The sequence below is a fragment of the Homo sapiens genome, chromosome 2 (assembly GCF_000001405.40).
Source record: "Homo sapiens chromosome 2, GRCh38.p14 Primary Assembly".
Classification (NCBI taxonomy): Eukaryota; Metazoa; Chordata; class Mammalia; order Primates; family Hominidae; genus Homo; species Homo sapiens.
In genome coordinates this window covers 70,029,975-70,047,634 of record NC_000002.12, presented here as the reverse complement: position 1 = coordinate 70,047,634, position 17,660 = coordinate 70,029,975, and the positions used below count along the sequence as shown (strand labels likewise).

Sequence of the window (17,660 nt, the reverse complement as noted above, 5' to 3'; positions counted from 1 at the left end):
GAAGTGTAGTGACTATGTCGGGGGAGGATCCCCCAGCTGCCTCTGGTAGTTGGTTTTATACTTCCCACTTTTGGCGTGCTGTACCTTCTAGAATTTCTGTCAGTAGACAATTTTGTGTTTTTCTTTGGAGCTTTCAAGATCTTGCACATAGCTTATATAGTTACATGGCTGTGAACAGAGAACGGGCAGTTTCATGGTGGCATTGGCTGTGAGGGCACTTACATTGATGAATTCAACCCACCACAGTGGCTGTCTCCCCTGTCAAAGTGAGTGAGGGGATGAGAGCATTTTCTGAACCAGCTCATCTTCCTGAATAGCTTCTTGCATGCCCCTGGGCTTTTCTGTTGGCATTTAATTGCTGGCTGTGGAATCTTGCCTGTTTTCCAATATAGACCTTTGGCTTTAGATCCTGTTCTTGTTCTTACCCACTCTCACTAAACTGAACTCCAGGAACCACATCTCTTTTGTTTGCTGCTGTATCCCAGGACTGAGCAAAGGCCTGATGCTTACTAACACCTCAAGAAATATTTATTGAATGAAGAAATGAATATTGACCTGGAAAGTTCAAACTCTTGGTTTTCCTTGCTTCTTCCTGAAGTCAGGGGCCAGATTAAGAATTTGTTTAATAGTCTTAAGCAATAGAAAAATTATTATGTCCCTCATACTTTCATCCCTCCGTATGTATTTTAAAAACAGCGTAAATGCAAAACAAGTATAAAGAAACCTAGCAAAATATAAAGAAAATGCAGCAAAATTCTGATTTTTACCTTGGTTACCACTTTCATAAATATAAAGTAACTTAAAATATTTGTTGTTGTTGTTGTTCTTGTTTTGCCAGTTCCCTGAGCACATGCTGTTGAGTAATCCTGCCTGGACCAGTACTTCCCTCACCCTAGACTTCACCTTCAGTTCCCCTTTATACCACCTGCTGAAGCTGCCAGCCAGCCTTTTCGACCACCCTCCCTCCCCCAGGGGTGTTTGGCTTCTCAGACCCCAGCCTGAGCTAGTGCCCTTGGCTTCCTAGGGTCTTGCCAGGAAAGCAAAGGAGAACATGCATACCGCCAAAGAGTACCTAATAATAAGAACTCCCATCCTGAATTGTGATTTATAGTCAGCATAGCACATGTGTCAGGTGATTATACTTAGGCTGATTTTAGCCTTAATAATCTGCTTCTGTGATCCTGTATGTGGGAAGCCTAGAAATTTCTCTGTGATCCTCCTTCCTGGATCACTAAGAGACAAGTCAAGACATAGGTCCATTCTACCACCTGTGTTAATCTGGGCCTTGTTGAGACCATTTAAAGAAAGGCGTGATGCTAGAAGTAAGGTCCAGGCCTCCTGCACACTGTTTCAAGGCTGTGACCATAGTCAGATCCTGTTGCTTGAGTCCAAAGAGTTTAAAATAGTGTTGGAAACCTCCTAGGGAAAAAACAAAAAACAAAACACCACATCTTCCTGGGTAAGGAAGTGACATGTGCTGACTAGAGCAGGAGGGGTAGCCAAGGCTCCAAGTTCTATTCTGGACCTGTTGTTGATTTGAGGTGTGACATTCAGCAATCTGAGCTGATGTTCTGTAGCTCTGATTGGTTTCTCATCTTCTGCAGAGAGAGTGAAAGAGGCTGTGCTTGCAGGGGAAAAGGTGAACACTGGTCTCCTGTCCTTTAGGAGAGCTTCACCATTACACGTCCTGCCTCTCATTTGAATTTCCAGGCTTTTTTAGAGTCTCGCTCTATTGCCCAGATTGGAGTGCAGTGGTGTGATCTCGGCTCACTGCAACCTCTGCCTCTGGGTTTAAGCGATTCTCTCACCTCAGCCTCCCAAGTAGCTGGAATTATAGGTGCGTGCCACCATGCCTGGCTAATTTTTGTGTTTTTAGTAGAGACAGGGTTTCACCATGTTGGCCAGGCTAGTCTCGAACTCCTGACCTCAAGTGATCCACCCACCTCGGCCTCCCAACCAGGCTTTTTTAAATGCAGAAACCGCCCGCCCCCAGAGTTAATATGGAAACCCAGCAATGTTGTTTATGTTTTACTTGAATTCGTTTCATCAGAATTGCATTCCTTTTAACAGTGTGATTAGATCAGCTCTTAGAGGGGATGGCAGCTTCAGTAGGGTTTAGGAAAGGAAAGGAATATTTGTGTGGGGCACACACTTTGGCTTTGATAGCTTGAGGATACCAGGTACATGATAATTTAGATGGATAACAGAAACTTGTGTCCCTTGAGAGCCAGGCATGTATTAGATGCTTTCATACATTATTTAATTGTAATACAAACCAATAAAGTATTCCCATTTTTTGCACATGGGCAAGCTGAAAGTCAAAGAAGTTATGTAACTTGCCCAAGGTCACACAGCTAATAAAAAGGCTGAGCTAGGATTTATTTCTCCTCAAGTCTGTACAACGCCAGAGCCCATGCTGTTTTCACAGAGCTTTTCTGTCCCTGGTGAGATTTAGGAAAGGAGGGTAGGAGAAAGAAGGGTGATGAGATGCCATTTTTACCCACCTTGCGATTTTGCTTGTTGGGACGTGTTTAGCCAGAACATTCTGTTTATAGAATACTAGATTCTATATATAGAGATGCTGCAGCAACATATGTGGGAAAGATACCAATTGGCTGTAGGTGAGGATTTCAAAAAGCCTTTGTTCTTCATCACAGCATAGGCCACACGTGTCAAAACACCACTGGTAATTGGTTTACTGCTTAAGTGGCTCTGTCCTATCATCTACATAAAATCTGTTGATGTGGCTCACAAAGTCAGGTGTGATGGGGCCAGAGGTGAGGGTGTGGTGTATCCTCACTGCATGTACTGGAGCTGGTGGCACCTGTTGTGTGACTACTGCAGTGAATGATTACTGAGTAAATAAGAGGTGTCTCAGCCAGGCGTGGTGGCTCACGCCCGGAATCCCAGCACTTTGGGAGGCCGAGGTGGGCGGATCACCTGAGGTTGGGAGTTTGAGACCAGCCTGACCAACATGGAGAAACCCCGTCTCTACTAAAAATACAAAATTAGCTGGGCGTGGTGGCTCATGCCTGTGATCCCAGCCACTTGGGAGGCTGTGGCAGGAGAATCGCCTGAATCCGCGAGGCGGTGGTTGCCGTGAGCCGAGATCGTGTCATTGCACTCTAGCCTGGGCAACAAGAGTGGAACTCTGTCTCAGAAAAACAAAACAAAACATTAGGTGTCTCCTTTTTTCTTCTCCAAGGGAGACCAGATAGCAGTGGGTGCTGGCACACATCCAGGGATCCTGGCCCCTGGGCTAGCAGAAGAGATGGCTTGAAGGTGTCAGGTGATGGAATAAAAAGAGCTGGTCTGTCAAGTGGTATAATTTCAGGGGACCAAGAATGTGTCCTGCCCCTCAAAAACTTGCCCTAGCTGTTTGCTATTGCTTGGGATCCCACAATTGAAATTTCTTTTTCTTGATTTAAATCTTTGAGACCCTATTAAAAATGAAGAGACTCCAGGAAGAGTTTTGATTGTGAAACATTTTGGTCATGTTAACTGGAAGTATGAATGAGTTTATAAGATTGATTTCTGAGAACCAGACTGAGGAAGGGATAGGGAGGAGAAGGCACTGTGCCCCTAGTTGCAGGGACAAGAAGGAGACACCAATGAGTTTGAGATAAAGGCCTTGAAGAGAGATGCTGGGTCTCTAAAGAAATACTTGGTTTCCTTCACAGTTTTGTCTGAGAAAAGACAAGCAGCTGACAGTGCTGGTTATGGAGGCCCATGACCCCAAAAGAGGTTGTGCTGAGTAGATAGCCCACCAGCATGTTCGGATGGAGGCACAATGTTGTCTGGAGAGCAGCTGACAGCTATAATGTAACCAGGAGTGCTGGACCTTTGGGTCTGTGGTTTACTGTGATGTACTGAGACAAAGACTGTCACAGATCTTAGAAGGGGGAGGCACAGCTTCCAAGAAATGATGCAAAATGGTGGCGCAAAAGAGGCCACCAGTGGCAACAAGGGCAGGGCATTTCCTTTGTGGCTGGTGGTCACGGACAACTTCTGGTCTCAATTTCCCAATGAGCTATGCTAAGAAATTTACCAGAAAGCAAAATAAGCCATGCAAAAAGCGATGACAAAGCACTTGGGGTATCCATGCAAAGGTGCAGTTCCCCCTTGTCCACTAATTTTGTGGAGCCAAAAGAGCTGATCCAGAAGCTGCAAAGATAGTCCCTGTGATTAAGACATACAACTTTTTTTTTTTTAAATGCGAGACTCTGTCTTACTCTGCCACCCAGGCTGGAGTGCAGTAGAGCAATCTTGGCTCACTGCAACTTCCACCTCCTGGGTTCAAGTGATTTTCCTGCCTTAGCGTCCCAAGTAGCTGGGATTACAGGCGCGCACCACCACGCCCAGCTAATTTTTGTATTTTTAGTGGAGATGGGGTTTCACCATGTTGGCCAGGCTGGTCTTGAACTCCTGACCTCAGGTGATACACCCGCCTCGGCCTCCCAAAGAAGGCATACAGCTTTTTTGGCCTGAGTTCTTCCAAAGAGAGACCCTTCCTAGTTGACTTGGCATCATCTTTCATTCACCAGTGTTCTCTAACTGCCTTTATGATTAGAATTCTCACAGCGTTTTCTCCCCCAAGGGCATATTTTACAGAGGCAACTCAAATCTCAGTGCCTTTCTGAACTCCTTACAATTGGGTTTATAGATGCCTCCACCCTGAGGTTCAATTTCACTGTCCATATTCCTATTCTAAGTCTGGAGCACTTTATTTTTGATCCAGACTTTTAGCTTCACTGAGGCCTCTTGGGTTCTAGCTAATTTTTTTGGACACATTTCCCTAGTGGGCAGCCTAGGAATGGCCTGTCCTCCCTATCCCCCAAAGTTTGGCAAGGTCTGTACCCCCTACCTTAATGGAATCAGCACTACTTGAGATTTCTGAACATCCTACACCGTTTCCTCTCCCCTCAACCCCTGCAGCCTCATACACGAGGTCTAGTGGAAAGCAGGATCTGCTGATCACTAGGATATTAGAGCCAGTGTCTCCAGTAGGGAAGAACTCCTGGGCATGTGTTCTATGCCCTGAATGACAGCTCTCTGCCTATCAGTTTCTGCTTTCCCTCCATCTCACCTTTATTTTGGCTTTTACCTAGAAGTACAAACTTTGTCTTGTTCCTCTGCCTGGACTTCCTAACCCTGTCCAGGACTAAAGCCCTGCTGTCAGTCCCTCACCAGGGACTTTCCACACTTTCCCTGGCCAGGTCACTTATCTGATACTAGAGCCTTTTCTTGCATCTAGGCTTTAGTAGGTAGAGTTCTGTCCATGCACAGATCTCCCTGTGTTGACCACCTTGAACTTCGCCTAGTGCTCTTTGCGCTAATTAGATGCCATGCTAGTCTGTCCTGCTGCCTTCTGGAACAAGGCTCTTAGCTTTGTTGAGCTCTTGCCCTGGATTTCATGTTAGCTGTCCAGCTGCCTGCACCTCAAAAAGAGCTTTTAATATGCATTATAAAACTCCAAAAGGGAAATAGAATATATAACATTTTTCAAACGTATTTAACTAGAGATCCATTTTTTTTTTCTGAAGGAATATTTATTAAAATCTTACAGAATATGTGTTTGGTGGAATACAGTTTTGGAAAGAGTGAATCTTTATCCCAAAGGAATGGACATCAAATAGAGTAATTCCAGATGAAGATAATGTTACTATTACCTTCATCTGAAATTCCAGATGAAGGTAGTAATCACTATTTCCTGTGTGTCTGCATAAGGATAGCTCTAATCCGCAGTGGAACTCTAAAATAGGGAGGAAGGAAGAATTCTGCATTCTTTCTTCCACTTTGAATCCTCTTCTTCCCAATGGAAACAGGAAGTGGTAAATGCAATGGTGCCATCACGGCCATGGTCGTCACTGGCTTCTGGATACAAGATAGGAGGGCTTCTCTGAGGCTCTCTTCCCTAGATTGGACCTCTCAGAATTTCTCTAGAGTGCTCCTGAGCACCCTTCCTTCTACTCTGGGACTATATTCATCTCAGCATCAGTCTCAAGTTTAACTGCTAGTTCAGGATTTTGATGTTACACATGGGGATCAGTGCCAGATGGGATGTAGCTCATTTTTATGGAATGAGTATGACATAAATTTTCTCCTTTCCCTATTAAATTTCTCTTCTATATCTTGTGGGCAGTCCAGACTATAATTTTTTTTTCAATCCTTGAATGGAGATAAGCTCATGCTCTGTGGGCAGGGCGGTGTTACAGGTGGGTCGCCATTTAAATCCGACTGGGTGGGTGACCACGTACCAGGAATGGAAGTTGGCTTAGCTAGTAACCAAAGAGCAAGCCAGTTACTTCCCCTGCATGCCATTCCCAACCAGCACAGCTGGGGAAAGACCACCTGAAAGAAATCTCTAAGACTTCTGATGAAGAAATTACTAGGTCCTCTTGAGACCCTCATGTATGTGTCTTTATTGTCGTGAGTGAGATCATTAGTTGGCTGATCTCAGTTGGCTTAGCTAATCATAAACTAGATGGAAAGGCTCAGCTTTGACCATGACCTTAAATATGGATGGACCATGTCCTTAGGTATGTTCTTTGAGCATCCAGTAAGCAGCATTCTCCGTAGACAAGCCCCACCCTTGGGGCCTTAGCCTATGGCATTTGTCCATTTTTGCCATTTCTTCTGAAAGACTATGGTTTTAACTGAAGACCAGGGAGTCAGCTCGCTTATAGGAAGTGGGAAGAGGGCTTGAAATGGGCATTCAGAGATCTTAAATAGAGCTTGTAGTTTATTTGGTCAGTCTACAAGTATTTGCCACGTTAGTTTAGTTTAGTTTAGTTTAGTTTTGAGTCGGAGTCTCACTCTGTCACCCAGGCTGGAATACAGTGGTGTGATCTCGGCTCACTGAAACCTCTGCCTCCCGGGTTCAAGTGATTCTCCTGCCTCAGCCTCCCGAGTAGGTCAGATTACAGGGGCCTGCCACTGCGCCCGGCTAATTTTTGTACTTTTAGTAAAGACGAAGTTTCACCATCTTGGCCAGGCTGGTCTTGAACTTTTGACCTCATGATCCACCTGCCTCGGCCTCCCAAAGTGCTGGGATTACAGGCGTGAGCCACCGTGCCCAGCCGGTATTTGCTAAGTATTAATTGGCTTATAACTGTGGAAAACTTGTTAACAGCTTTAGGAAGGCTGTTAGGGAAAGTCTCAGGTTGCAGTGAGCTGAGATCAGGCCATTGCACTCCGGCCTGGGTGACAGAGCAAGACTCCATCTCAAAATAAATGAATAAAAATTTAAAAAATAAATAAAGAGACAAAGTCTTGCTCTGTCACTCAGGCTAGAGTGCGGTGGTGTGATCACAGTTCACTGCAGCTTCAAACTTCTGAGCTCAAGCAATCTTCCTGTCTCAGCCTCCCTGAGTAGTTGAGATTACATAGGTGGGTGCCACTATGCCCAACTGTCTCTACTCCCTCTATATACTGTCTCTAGATGATGCCATCTATATTTATTGGTTCAGCTACCACTGATACATCAAGTACTTTAATACCATCATCCTCCACCTAGATTTTTCTCTCTTCTGAGTTTCTTACTCATAATAGCCAAACACTATTGGCATTGTAACCTGGATAGCTCTTAAGCACCTTAAACTCAACATGTCTCAAGCCAAATTATATTGTTCATCACACCATTCTCTTTCCCTTTCCAAACCTCCTCCTCCTCCTCATTTCCTTGATTTAGGAGCATCACTGTCTGGCGTCATTTGTTAACATGCTTTTGCATTACTGTTTTCTATTCCCCCACTGGGAATTTAATAGTCTCCGGTTGTAATGTAAGATGTTTAGGATGTGGTTCTTTCTTTTCTTATTCAAGAACAATTAAAGGTTAAGCTGAGATTCAGACTCTAAGTAAAATGGAAGTCGTGGAGAGGAAGCATCTGAGGGCTAGAACCTTGGAAGAAAACTTGAGAGTTGACTAAGGCCACCCTTAGGTGCAGTAGGGGCCAGAAGACCTTTTTAGGAGCATGCAGAATGGAGAAGAGGTGGGGCATATGATCCTCAGTTTGTTTCTTGTGCAAGCAGAGTAATTGGCACCTCCCCTGCTGGCTGTTTGTGTAAATCACTGTGGAACCTCATGTAATCTGGTTTAAACGTCTAAGGATTGAGCATCCTAGTATAACCCATCAGCTAGCTGGAGTCATCCTTCTCCTTAAAGTTTTGGCTGAAAATGTCATTCTTCAACTTACAGCAAGTTGTTCTGATTCCTTCTTCAGATTTCTTCAAATTCCCAGGAGCTCTGATTTTGAGCTCTTGCTTCCATTGAATTTGTTTAGATTATGGATGGTTTACTAGATCAAGTACACTGACCCTGTTTCCATCCACAATGATACAGATGTAGAACTCCCAGCTAAAGCCTTTATATGCGTTGCAGACTTTATCAAAGGTTTGGGATAATGGAGAGAATTCAACATTGCAACAAAGTAAGCAACTTGAATTCTAATACTGGTTATTCCTGTTCCTCAGAGTACTTTTGCCCACCCCTCCACTAGGGATTTGTCATTATTCATATCACCCACATATGTTGGCTTTGTTTTTTTTTTTTTTTTGAGATGGAGTTTTGCTTTCGTTGCCCCGGCTGGAGTGCCATGGCATGATCTCGGCTTACTGCAACCTTTGCCTCCCACGTTCAAGTGATTCTCCTACCTCAGCCTCCCAAGTAGCTGGGATTACAGGCATGTGCCACTATGCCTGGCTAATTTTTGTATTTTTAGTAGAGACAGGGTTTCTCCATGTTGGTCAGGCTGGTCTCGAACTCCCAACCTCAGGTGATCCGCCCACCTCGGCTTCCCAAAGTGCTGGGATTACAGGCGTAAGCCACCCCACCCAGCTGGCCTTGGTCTTTTATAATCTTATCTTTCTCTCCTCTGCAAACTCTCCTTAGCATATTACCACTAGAACTCCAAATACTTCTGTCATTCTATTTTGCAAGCAATTTAACTCTCTCAAACTCTTCCTCCTAAAATCACTTCTGGGTTCACTTCTGTGTGTCCAGAGCCTACCAAGGGGGAATAAAGAGCTTCATACGCTTTTTTTTCCCCCTTGAGACATGGTTTTGTTCTGTTGCCAAGGCTGGAGTGAAGTGCTATGATGTGGTCATAGCTCATTGTAACCTCAAACTCTTGGCCTCAGGCAATCCTCCCACCTTAGCCTCCTGAGTAGCTAGCACTTACAGGTGATCACCACCACACCTGGCTACTATTTTTTTTGTCTTTTAGTGACAGGGTCTTGGTATGTTGCCCAGGCTGGTCTTGAACTTGGTATGTTGCCCAGCCTGGTTGCCCAGGCCACTGGCCTCAAGCAATTCAACTTTCTTGGCCTCCCAAAGTGTTGGGAATACAAGCATGAGCCACTCTGCCCAGCCTTCATGCATTTCTTTAGCTACACAAAGAATAATATGTAGACCCTCTGATGTTTACTTTTCCATTATCTTCCATCTTTTGAAGGTATTTCTTGTTTTGAGTAGCACTTACTGCTTATCTGCATAATGGTTTTACATTGAAGGATCTATGGAGGAAAAATAGGAGGATATTCTAGGTAAAAGCAACAATAAAAGCAGCAACCTTCACAAAACCTGTTGTGGACAAATGAAAAACTAGTCCAACTGGGCAGAAGAATTCTTGTCAAGGAGGAGAGCTCACAATAGATTAGAAAATCCAGAAACAGACCTAGGTTTCAGCAGGAAAGGATAGTGTTAGGACAAATGATACAGGACAGCTGGCTGACAAGAAAAAAAATTTCTGTCACCATATAACAAAATTAATTCTAAATGGATTACAAGTTTTTACATAAAAACTAAAGTAATAAATGTACTAGAAGATAATTTTTTTTTTGAAGTATGGCACTAAAGGCAGAAACTATAAAGGAAAATGTGTGATGAATTAGCTAAAAAAAAGTAACAGCATAAGCAAAAGTACATGACAAACTGGTTAAAAACAGTTTTCAACATATCTCTAATGTACACAGAGCTTTTACACGTTAATAGGAAAAAAAATACCACAAAAAAATGGGCCAAAGTCATAGAAGAATAAATTCAAATGTGACTAACAAAGCATATAGAAAAAGGCTATTTCAGCCAGGCGCAGTGCCTCATGCCTGTAATCCCAACACTTTGGGAGGTTTTTACAAAAATGAATTAGCCAGGAGTGGTGGTGCACACCTGTAGTCCCAGCAGTAGCTCAGGAGGCTGAGGCACGAGAACGGCCTGAATGCAGGAGGCGGAGGTTGCAGTCAGCTGAGATCACGCCACTGTGCCCCAGCCTGAGTGACAGAGCAAGACTCATGCCTGTAATCCCAGCACTTTAGGAAGTTGAGGCAGGCAGATTGCTTGAGCTCAGGAGTTTGAGAACAGACTAACAAGTCACTGATTATGCCAAGGTGTTTATCTACACCAAAATTGGAAGGTTACCTATCATGATGGAAATGGGGCTAACTGGAAAGGGGAGCCACTCCTCTAGAAGGGGAAGATGGATTTGTTTCCTGGAGTTGAATTTGAAGAGCTAGAGGTACATCCAAGAGGAAATGTTCCATAGGCTGGAGATTTCCATTTAGAGAAAAAAATTACTTCTAAAGTAGAAGCAATAGGTGGGAGTGGAGACTCCCTAGATTTGGCACCTTTGACAGGCTTGGAGGGGAGGTGGTATTTTGGTTCTTCCCTTCCTGCCAGAAGTCTCCTTGAGAGAGACTGGAGAGGAGTGTGTGGTCTCAATTAGAACCTGAAGAGTAGAGACTGGGGAGAGGTAGGAGTGGGCAGTAATCATAAACAACAGCCACAACAGCATTTAAAAATTACTTTAGGCCAGGCGCAGTGGCTCATACCTGTAATCCCAGCGCTTTGGGAGGCTGAGGTGGGAGGATCCCTTGAGCCTAGGAGTTCGAGGCTGCAGTGAGCCATGATCGTGCCACTGCACTCCAGCCTGGGTGACAGAGTGAGTCCCTGTCTTGGAAAAAAATAAAAATTACTTTAGAAAGTGACACTATAGTGACTTAAGTAACAGAATCCTGTGTGTTTTAGATTATTACTTTTTTTTGTTTTTTGTTTATGTGTACACTTCCAATTTTGGTGTAGACAAACACCTTGGCATTATCAGTGACTTGTTACTCTGTTCTCCTCTTCCTGCCTGAGAGACTGTCAAATCAGCACTTATTCTATAAAGTGTCTTTAGATTGATCCATTTCTTTATAATCCCACCCGCCCACGCTAGTTGCTACCTTATTATTTCATACTTGTATTGCCATTACAGCTTACTAACTGGTTTCTCTAATTTCATTTTCTGCTTCATTCATTTTGCATGCTACAACATAAAACCTGCCCTGATCACTGCTTTTATCACCACTATCTGCTCAAGAGCCTACAATGGCTCTTCATTACCAAGCCCACCAAGGTAAAATAATTTTGTCCGGTTTCAGCCCACCCACCATATTCAAGTAACAGGGTGTCTCTTTTTCTGCCCACCTCTTCACTGCTCCTAGCTCCAGGCTGCAGCTTTTGCTCTGTCTGCCCCTCTTTGGAAAATTCATCTCTAAGAGACAGGGAGTGGAGAAATGAGAAATGAACTTTGAGGCTGAATATCTGAAAATGCAGAATTAGGATTCAAACTCAGATATTCAGCCTCAAAGTTCATTTCTCATTTCTTTATTGAATTCTGGCTTCATTTCTTTGAAAGTAATACAGTAAAAGCATGAAAGTAATACAGTAAAAGCATATTGACTTAGACCAGTGATAGAAGGGCTTGAGTTAGTTAAATAAAAAAAAAAATTTTGTGAAGTCATTAGGTTTGTTTATTTTTGGAATTCCATGGTACCTCCACTTGTGTATTTGCTAGCTGATAGAGATCCTGAGAGGAGCTACTTTAATGAGTAGAAAATCAAGAGTCCCTTAAGTCACTTCAGTTTTCCAACTGGCAGTCATACTTATGGGATTAAATTATTTAACTGACTCATTCAGATAGCATAAACACAAAATGTAATTATCTCGTATGAGGAGTCCAGAATCAACAGGGTCAGTGTTAACAGAAATTTTCTTGCAATTGCTAGACTGGTGTCTGCTAAGAATCCTGCAAGGCATCTTGCACCTCAGTGCTTGGTGGGCAGTCAGAAAATGATGGTCAAGTAAATGAGTGAGTGAGTGAAGAACTAGTGGAATCTTTTTCCTTGAGGCATGTTGAGCTGTGTGAAACAGTCTTCCCACAGCCTCACACTGTAGTTTTGCTGGGTTGTTTAGGGACAAGTCATATTGCTCAGATTTTATAGTGAGGGAGGAAATGGAGGCACCATAGGACTTTTCTGCTCTGTGAGCTGGTAATTCCACAGAGGAGTGTTTTCAGAACTGGTAAGCTGGTATCACTTGAGTCCCAGTCACTGGATCTCTCCTCCTAAAAGATCAGGCTGCTGAGAGTCCCTGGAACAATTGAGGAGGCTCATGGAGGTGGGAGATTTCCTACTGGCAACCTGGATCTCGCCCAGAGAGGGCCCCTACTTTATAGGTCCGCTGTAGGAGGCTCTTCACCTCCCTTCCTTCTCATTGCTTGGATTCTAAATCCGGAACTTCTCTGGCACATCTCTGGTTTTTGCTTACACAGCCTGGCCCTGCCCTCTGGCTGTATGCCATTTGTGATTTTTAGCCCTGCTGGAAGTTACACTCTCTACAAGGGTAAAGCAAACTGGGAGGTGCTGGTTCTGGCTCCAGAGGGACTGGGGTCTGGGGCCTGTCACCTGGTCCTGCCTGTGTTTCCTGGTGAGTATTCTTGGCCGCCTTTTTACCCTTAGCACACCAACTCAAAGCCCATAATTCTGACTGGGTAAGGATTAGAAGAGACTACCTTCTTCAGAGGGTCTGTGGGGGCAGGAATGTTAGTGCTTTGGAAGAAGCTCCTGACAGCAACCGCCACATCCTGCCTTGGGAGAATTGTTGGTCTCATACAGATGATCTAACAGTTATATTGGAGGTGTCTGTGGGCAGTGGTATCATACCACAGAAGGATTTCCCACCAGGTTCTTTAAGTATTGGACCTGCTTTTCAAAATAAAATCTGATTTTCTTTCTTTTTTTTTTTTTTTGAGACAAAGTCTCGCTCTGTCGCCCAGGCTCAAGTGCAGTGGCGCAATCCCTGCTTAGTGCAACGTCCACCTCCCGGGTTCAAGTGATTCTCCTGCCTCAGCCTCCTGAGTAGCTGGGACTACAGGCATGCGCCACCACGCCTGGCTAATTTTTTGTATTTTTAGTAGAGACGGGGGTTTCACCATGTTGGCCAGGCTAGTCTTGAACTCCTGACCTCAGGTGTTCTGCCCGCCTCGGCCTCCCAAAGTGCTGGGATTATAGGCAGGGTTTGCAGTGAGCTGAGATCATGCCATTGCACTCCAGCCTGGGCAACAAGAGCGAAACTCCGTCTCAAAAAACATATAAATAAATAAAAGATAGCCAGTGTCTTAGGGACAGAAGCATTGCTTTCCTTTTTTTTTTTTTTTTTTTTTTTATGAGATGGAGTCTCGCTGTCGCTCAGGCTGGAGTGCAGTGGCACGATCTCGGCTCACTGCAGGCTCCACCCCCCGGGGTTCACGCCATTCTCCTGCCTCAGCCTCCCGTGTAGCTGGGACTACAGGCGCCCACCACCTCGCCCGGCTAATTTTTTGTATTTTTAGTAGAGACGGGGTTTCACCGTGTTAGCCAGGATGGTCTTGATCTCCTGACCTCGTGATCTGCCCGCCTCGGCCTCCCAAAGTGCTGGGATTACAGGCGTGAGCCACCGCGCCCGGCCAGCATTGCTTTCCTTAATCACATTCTCAGTGTCAGAAGACTGCCAGTGAGTGTATGGGAATTGTTTCAGGCTTGTTACATAGGCTTTACTTAGAGCTGGAGAGTTGATATAGAGAGATATAATAGAAATTTATTTAAAACAAAAAATGGCTGTGGCCAGTTCTTCTTCTAAAGAGGGGTGGCTTAATTCATATTCATAGGGGAAAAAATTATTCCATTCCCTTTACCACTACAGAATGGTGGTAGTGAGTGAAAGTTCAAAACTTCTTTTTGTTCCTCGGTGCTGATCAAGGGTAGAAAGGGTAGAACCTGGAGTGGATGGTTCATACTATGGGTGACTCCAGCTATGGGTCATTGGAAGTCAGAGAAAAGGGAGTGGAGAGCTAAGTTGTTTTGAATAATGTAAGGGGGATTTCTCTCCCGCCCTAATACACAAACACAATGTGAGAAGCATTTGAAGAGGATAAAGGGGCCAAGCAGTGTGGTAATAACCCCTCAGTCTTTTCATACCTTCAGGAAAGTCTGATGGGCACACAGTGTTTTGAGTGAGTGCATATATGTGTGTGTGTGTGTGTGTGTGTGTGTGTGTGTGTGTGTTTTCTGTTTGATAAAGCATGGAAAAGGGGGACTGAGTCCTGTATCTGGGACAGCTTAGAGCAGAGGAAGAGATCCGCCTCAGGAGGTGAGAAGTGAGTGAGATAAGAAGTCCAGCAAGAAATGGAGTCAGAGCCAAAGGGACTATGAAGAGCATTAGCTCCTGGGATTTGCAGAAATTCTGGGAAGGCCTTTGGACTTCTCATAGAACTTGGGATAGGGAGGTTCAGGGAGTTTTTAAAACATGCCCAAGGACAGGGTGGTTGTAGCTGATATCTGATTGCTGTAGTGCTGTGTAACTCATACAGTGTTTAACAGTGGTCCCCAAGATCCTGCTCTGTGTATGCTTCAGGAACCATCATGTTATTCCTCTCTCTATTCAGACTCCAAAGGGGGACAGCAAACTTCCCAACAAAGGACTTTGTTATACTCTTCCTGCCTTATGAGTTACACAGAACCTGAGGATGCTAGTTAAAAAAGTCGGAGAGCTGCAGCCTCCTCAGCCACACCATTGCTGAGTAGGATATATCATTAGGGGTAAAGAGGTTGGGCAAAGTCTTACACAAAGTCTTGGGACTTGAAGACTGCTCTCAGCAAGGACCTAAGCAAAATAAATTTTTTTGAGATAGGATCTCACTCTGTCACCCAGGCTGAAGTGCAGTAGTGCAATCATGGCTTACTGTAGCCTTAACCTCCTGGGCTCAAGCAATCCTCCTGCCTCAGCCTCTTGAGTAGCTGAGACTACAGGTGCATACCACCATGGCCAGATCATTTTTTTTTTTTTTTGTAGAGACCAAGTCTCGCCAGGTTGCTTAGGCTGATCTCGAACTTCTGGTGCTCAAGCAGCCCTCCCGTGTTAGCCTCCCAAAATGCTGAGATTATAATTGTGAGCCACCACACTTGGTCTTAAGCAAATATTAACTCCAATCACTATCCTAAGCCAAGGTGTCTGAGCAGCTGAGGGAGGACCAGAGTGAATGCAGCTAGTGCCACACTGAACAAACCACTCTTGCTCATTCCTTAGGGAGGAGGACCTGGTTGATAGAAGAATTTATCTCGTAGTCTTAACATCCACTGTAATTCCAAACTTTGAGGACGATAGAGATCAGTGGGCTTTGACTGCCCAGCATGCAGTCTCCATTCTTAGGTAAGAACACTTTGATTTTCCTTTTGGGTACCACATCCTTCCCCACTCTCAGACCAGATTCTGGTGGGATAAGTCCCTTGGAGGACACATGACTGTGGTCAGAGAATAGCAATTGACGTGGGCATGGTTCCAAATCCAGGCCAATCACGACTCTGGATTTCTGTTGGAACTGTTAAGAAAGTGACCTCATTTCTTTTCCAGGTGGGTTCCCAAGCCTGTAAAATGTAAGCCTTATGCTGCTGAGGGCCATCTTGCCACCCTGAGGGAAACGCTGCCTGAGAATGAAACAAGCATAAGTAAAAGCTGAGCTGTGAGATGGAGCAAGATGAAGGCCACATGACATCTTTGGAGCACCTGGATCTAACTGTGCCTTAAGCTAGTCTAACCCTGAACATTTCATCATTTCATTGACATGAGCCCAGGTTTTCTTTTTTTTTGGATGGAGTCTTGCTCTGTCGCCCAGGCTGGAGTGCAGTAGCTCAATCTCGGCTCACTGCAAGCTCCACCTCCCGGGTTCACGCCATTCTCCTGCCTTAGCCTCCCAAGTAGCTGGGACAACAGGCGCCCACCACCACTCCCAGCTAATTTTTTGTATTTTTAGTAGAGACGGGGTTTTACCATGTTAGCCGGGATGGTCTTGATCTCCTGACCTCATGATCCGCCCGCCTCGGCCTCCCAAAGTGCTGGGATTACAGGTGTGAGCCACTGCACCCAGCCCTCAGGTTTTCCCTTTTTTTACCCCTCCTTTTGAAAATTTGATGTGGAATTTTGCCACCTGCAGCCAGAAGAGTTTTAACTAATCAGTGCCATAAATTTTATATAGTTCTCCTTGCAAAATGTGGATCAGCCTTTCTCAGCAAATCCTTTGTCATAAAGTGCTGAATTGTAAGTTTGTCATGAGAATCACATGAGATCATGCATGTGAAGAACCTGGCATTATCCTCCTCATAGAAAAAAACCAGTAAATATTAACTACAGGAAGCAAGGAAGGAGTGGGGTGAGGGGAAGAAGAAGGGGTACTGATTTAAAAGAACCCTGGAGTCCTAAGGATAATCTAGGAACCCTCAGACCCAATCCGATACCCCTATTCTAAATGCTCCTAGTGCCCTGTACCTTCCCCTCATAAGCCTTCATTATCATTGTAATGATATGTTTATGTAATATTTTGATTAATGTCTCTCCTTCACTGACCTAGCAGTTCTAGCAGGGCAGTGATTTTGCTGTGTTGCATCCCCAGCACCTAGTCTGGTATGTGGCATTCAGCATATGTTTATTGAATGAATGGCCATGTGGTTATTCAGATCCTCCTTGATTATTGGGGTTAGGATTGTGGCAGAAGTGGCAAAATCAGGGAGAGTAGTCCCTGTCCCCTCTGTATCTTATACACTGCCCACACTCCCAACACACATACACATACAGAGAATTTTGTCTCAATTAGATAATTAACTTCTGCTTGGTTGTAAACCAAACCACTGGTTCTTAAACTTTCATTGGATCATTTTATTGAAGAATTAAATAGTGTGGTTCTGGCCTAATGTCTGGAAAGCCTTGCAGAGGAGTGGATTAGGTCTTTGTGATAAACAGGCAGCCTTCCCTGCTCCTGTGTCTTTATAAAATCTATTTAACTGGAGTAGTCCACCCTCCCTCAGGCTCTTACAGGAATATGTTGGAGGCTGTAGGAAGGTGGGAAACCGAGAGGGAAAGGACTGGGCCGCTGGAGACTTCACTCATTCCCTAGCAAGAAACAAAAGCAGTAAAAGGTGGCCCGAGGACAACCTGAAGCTCACTCCTTCAGCACTTTTGGCTGGAGGTCACTTGTTGGAGCCCCACTCAGAGCTCAGCACACCACCCCACCAGCAGCCTCCTCCTCCCAGCTGAGGCTGCATTTCATCCCTTCCCCCAGCCTGCTTTCCCTGAGATAGGGGAGTGTTTCCCAGGGCCCATGTGACTTCCACTGGCAAGTGACGATTACCAATGGTTTACTAGTCAGTGAAACTACCAAAGGCTTTTGTGCTGTAGTAATCCTTTTCCTGTTTAAAACTCTGGGGATTTTCTAATGTTGCCAATAGTTTTTCAAGTCAGCAATTACTGTGTGGATTATGTAATGGCTCGGTATTAAAAATAGAAAAGACTGGAGTTTGCATCTATTTTAACCAAA

The 17,660-nt window shown here is 44.6% G+C and overlaps 1 protein-coding gene and 1 long non-coding RNA gene across 38 annotated transcripts in view; both read left to right on the top strand.

The window, feature by feature from the left end:
• ASPRV1 (aspartic peptidase retroviral like 1) overlaps positions 1-17,660 on the top strand; it is a 154,659-nt gene that overhangs the window by 39,741 nt on the left and 97,258 nt on the right. For 3 of the 10 annotated variants that reach the window (NR_170635.1, NR_170637.1, NR_170639.1), the window contains one exon: positions 15,380-15,502. The exons of the other annotated variants lie outside the window; for them this stretch is intronic. The gene's annotated coding sequence lies outside the window, so the exon portion shown is untranslated. The remainder of the gene's footprint in view (positions 1-15,379; positions 15,503-17,660) is intronic. 10 annotated transcript variants of the gene reach the window in all.
• Positions 1-17,660, top strand: part of PCBP1-AS1 (PCBP1 antisense RNA 1) — a 125,946-nt gene that overhangs the window by 40,574 nt on the left and 67,712 nt on the right. For 20 of the 28 annotated variants that reach the window (NR_183091.1, NR_183092.1, NR_183093.1 and 17 more), the window contains 2 exons: positions 15,380-15,502; positions 15,704-17,638. The exons of 3 other annotated variants lie outside the window; for them this stretch is intronic. This is a non-coding gene — a long non-coding RNA (PCBP1 antisense RNA 1). Of the gene's footprint in view, positions 1-838; positions 2,378-15,379; positions 15,503-15,703; positions 17,639-17,660 lie in introns of those variants that run through there. 5 more of the 28 variants (NR_183114.1, NR_183113.1, NR_183110.1 and 2 more) reach the window with 4 other exon arrangements.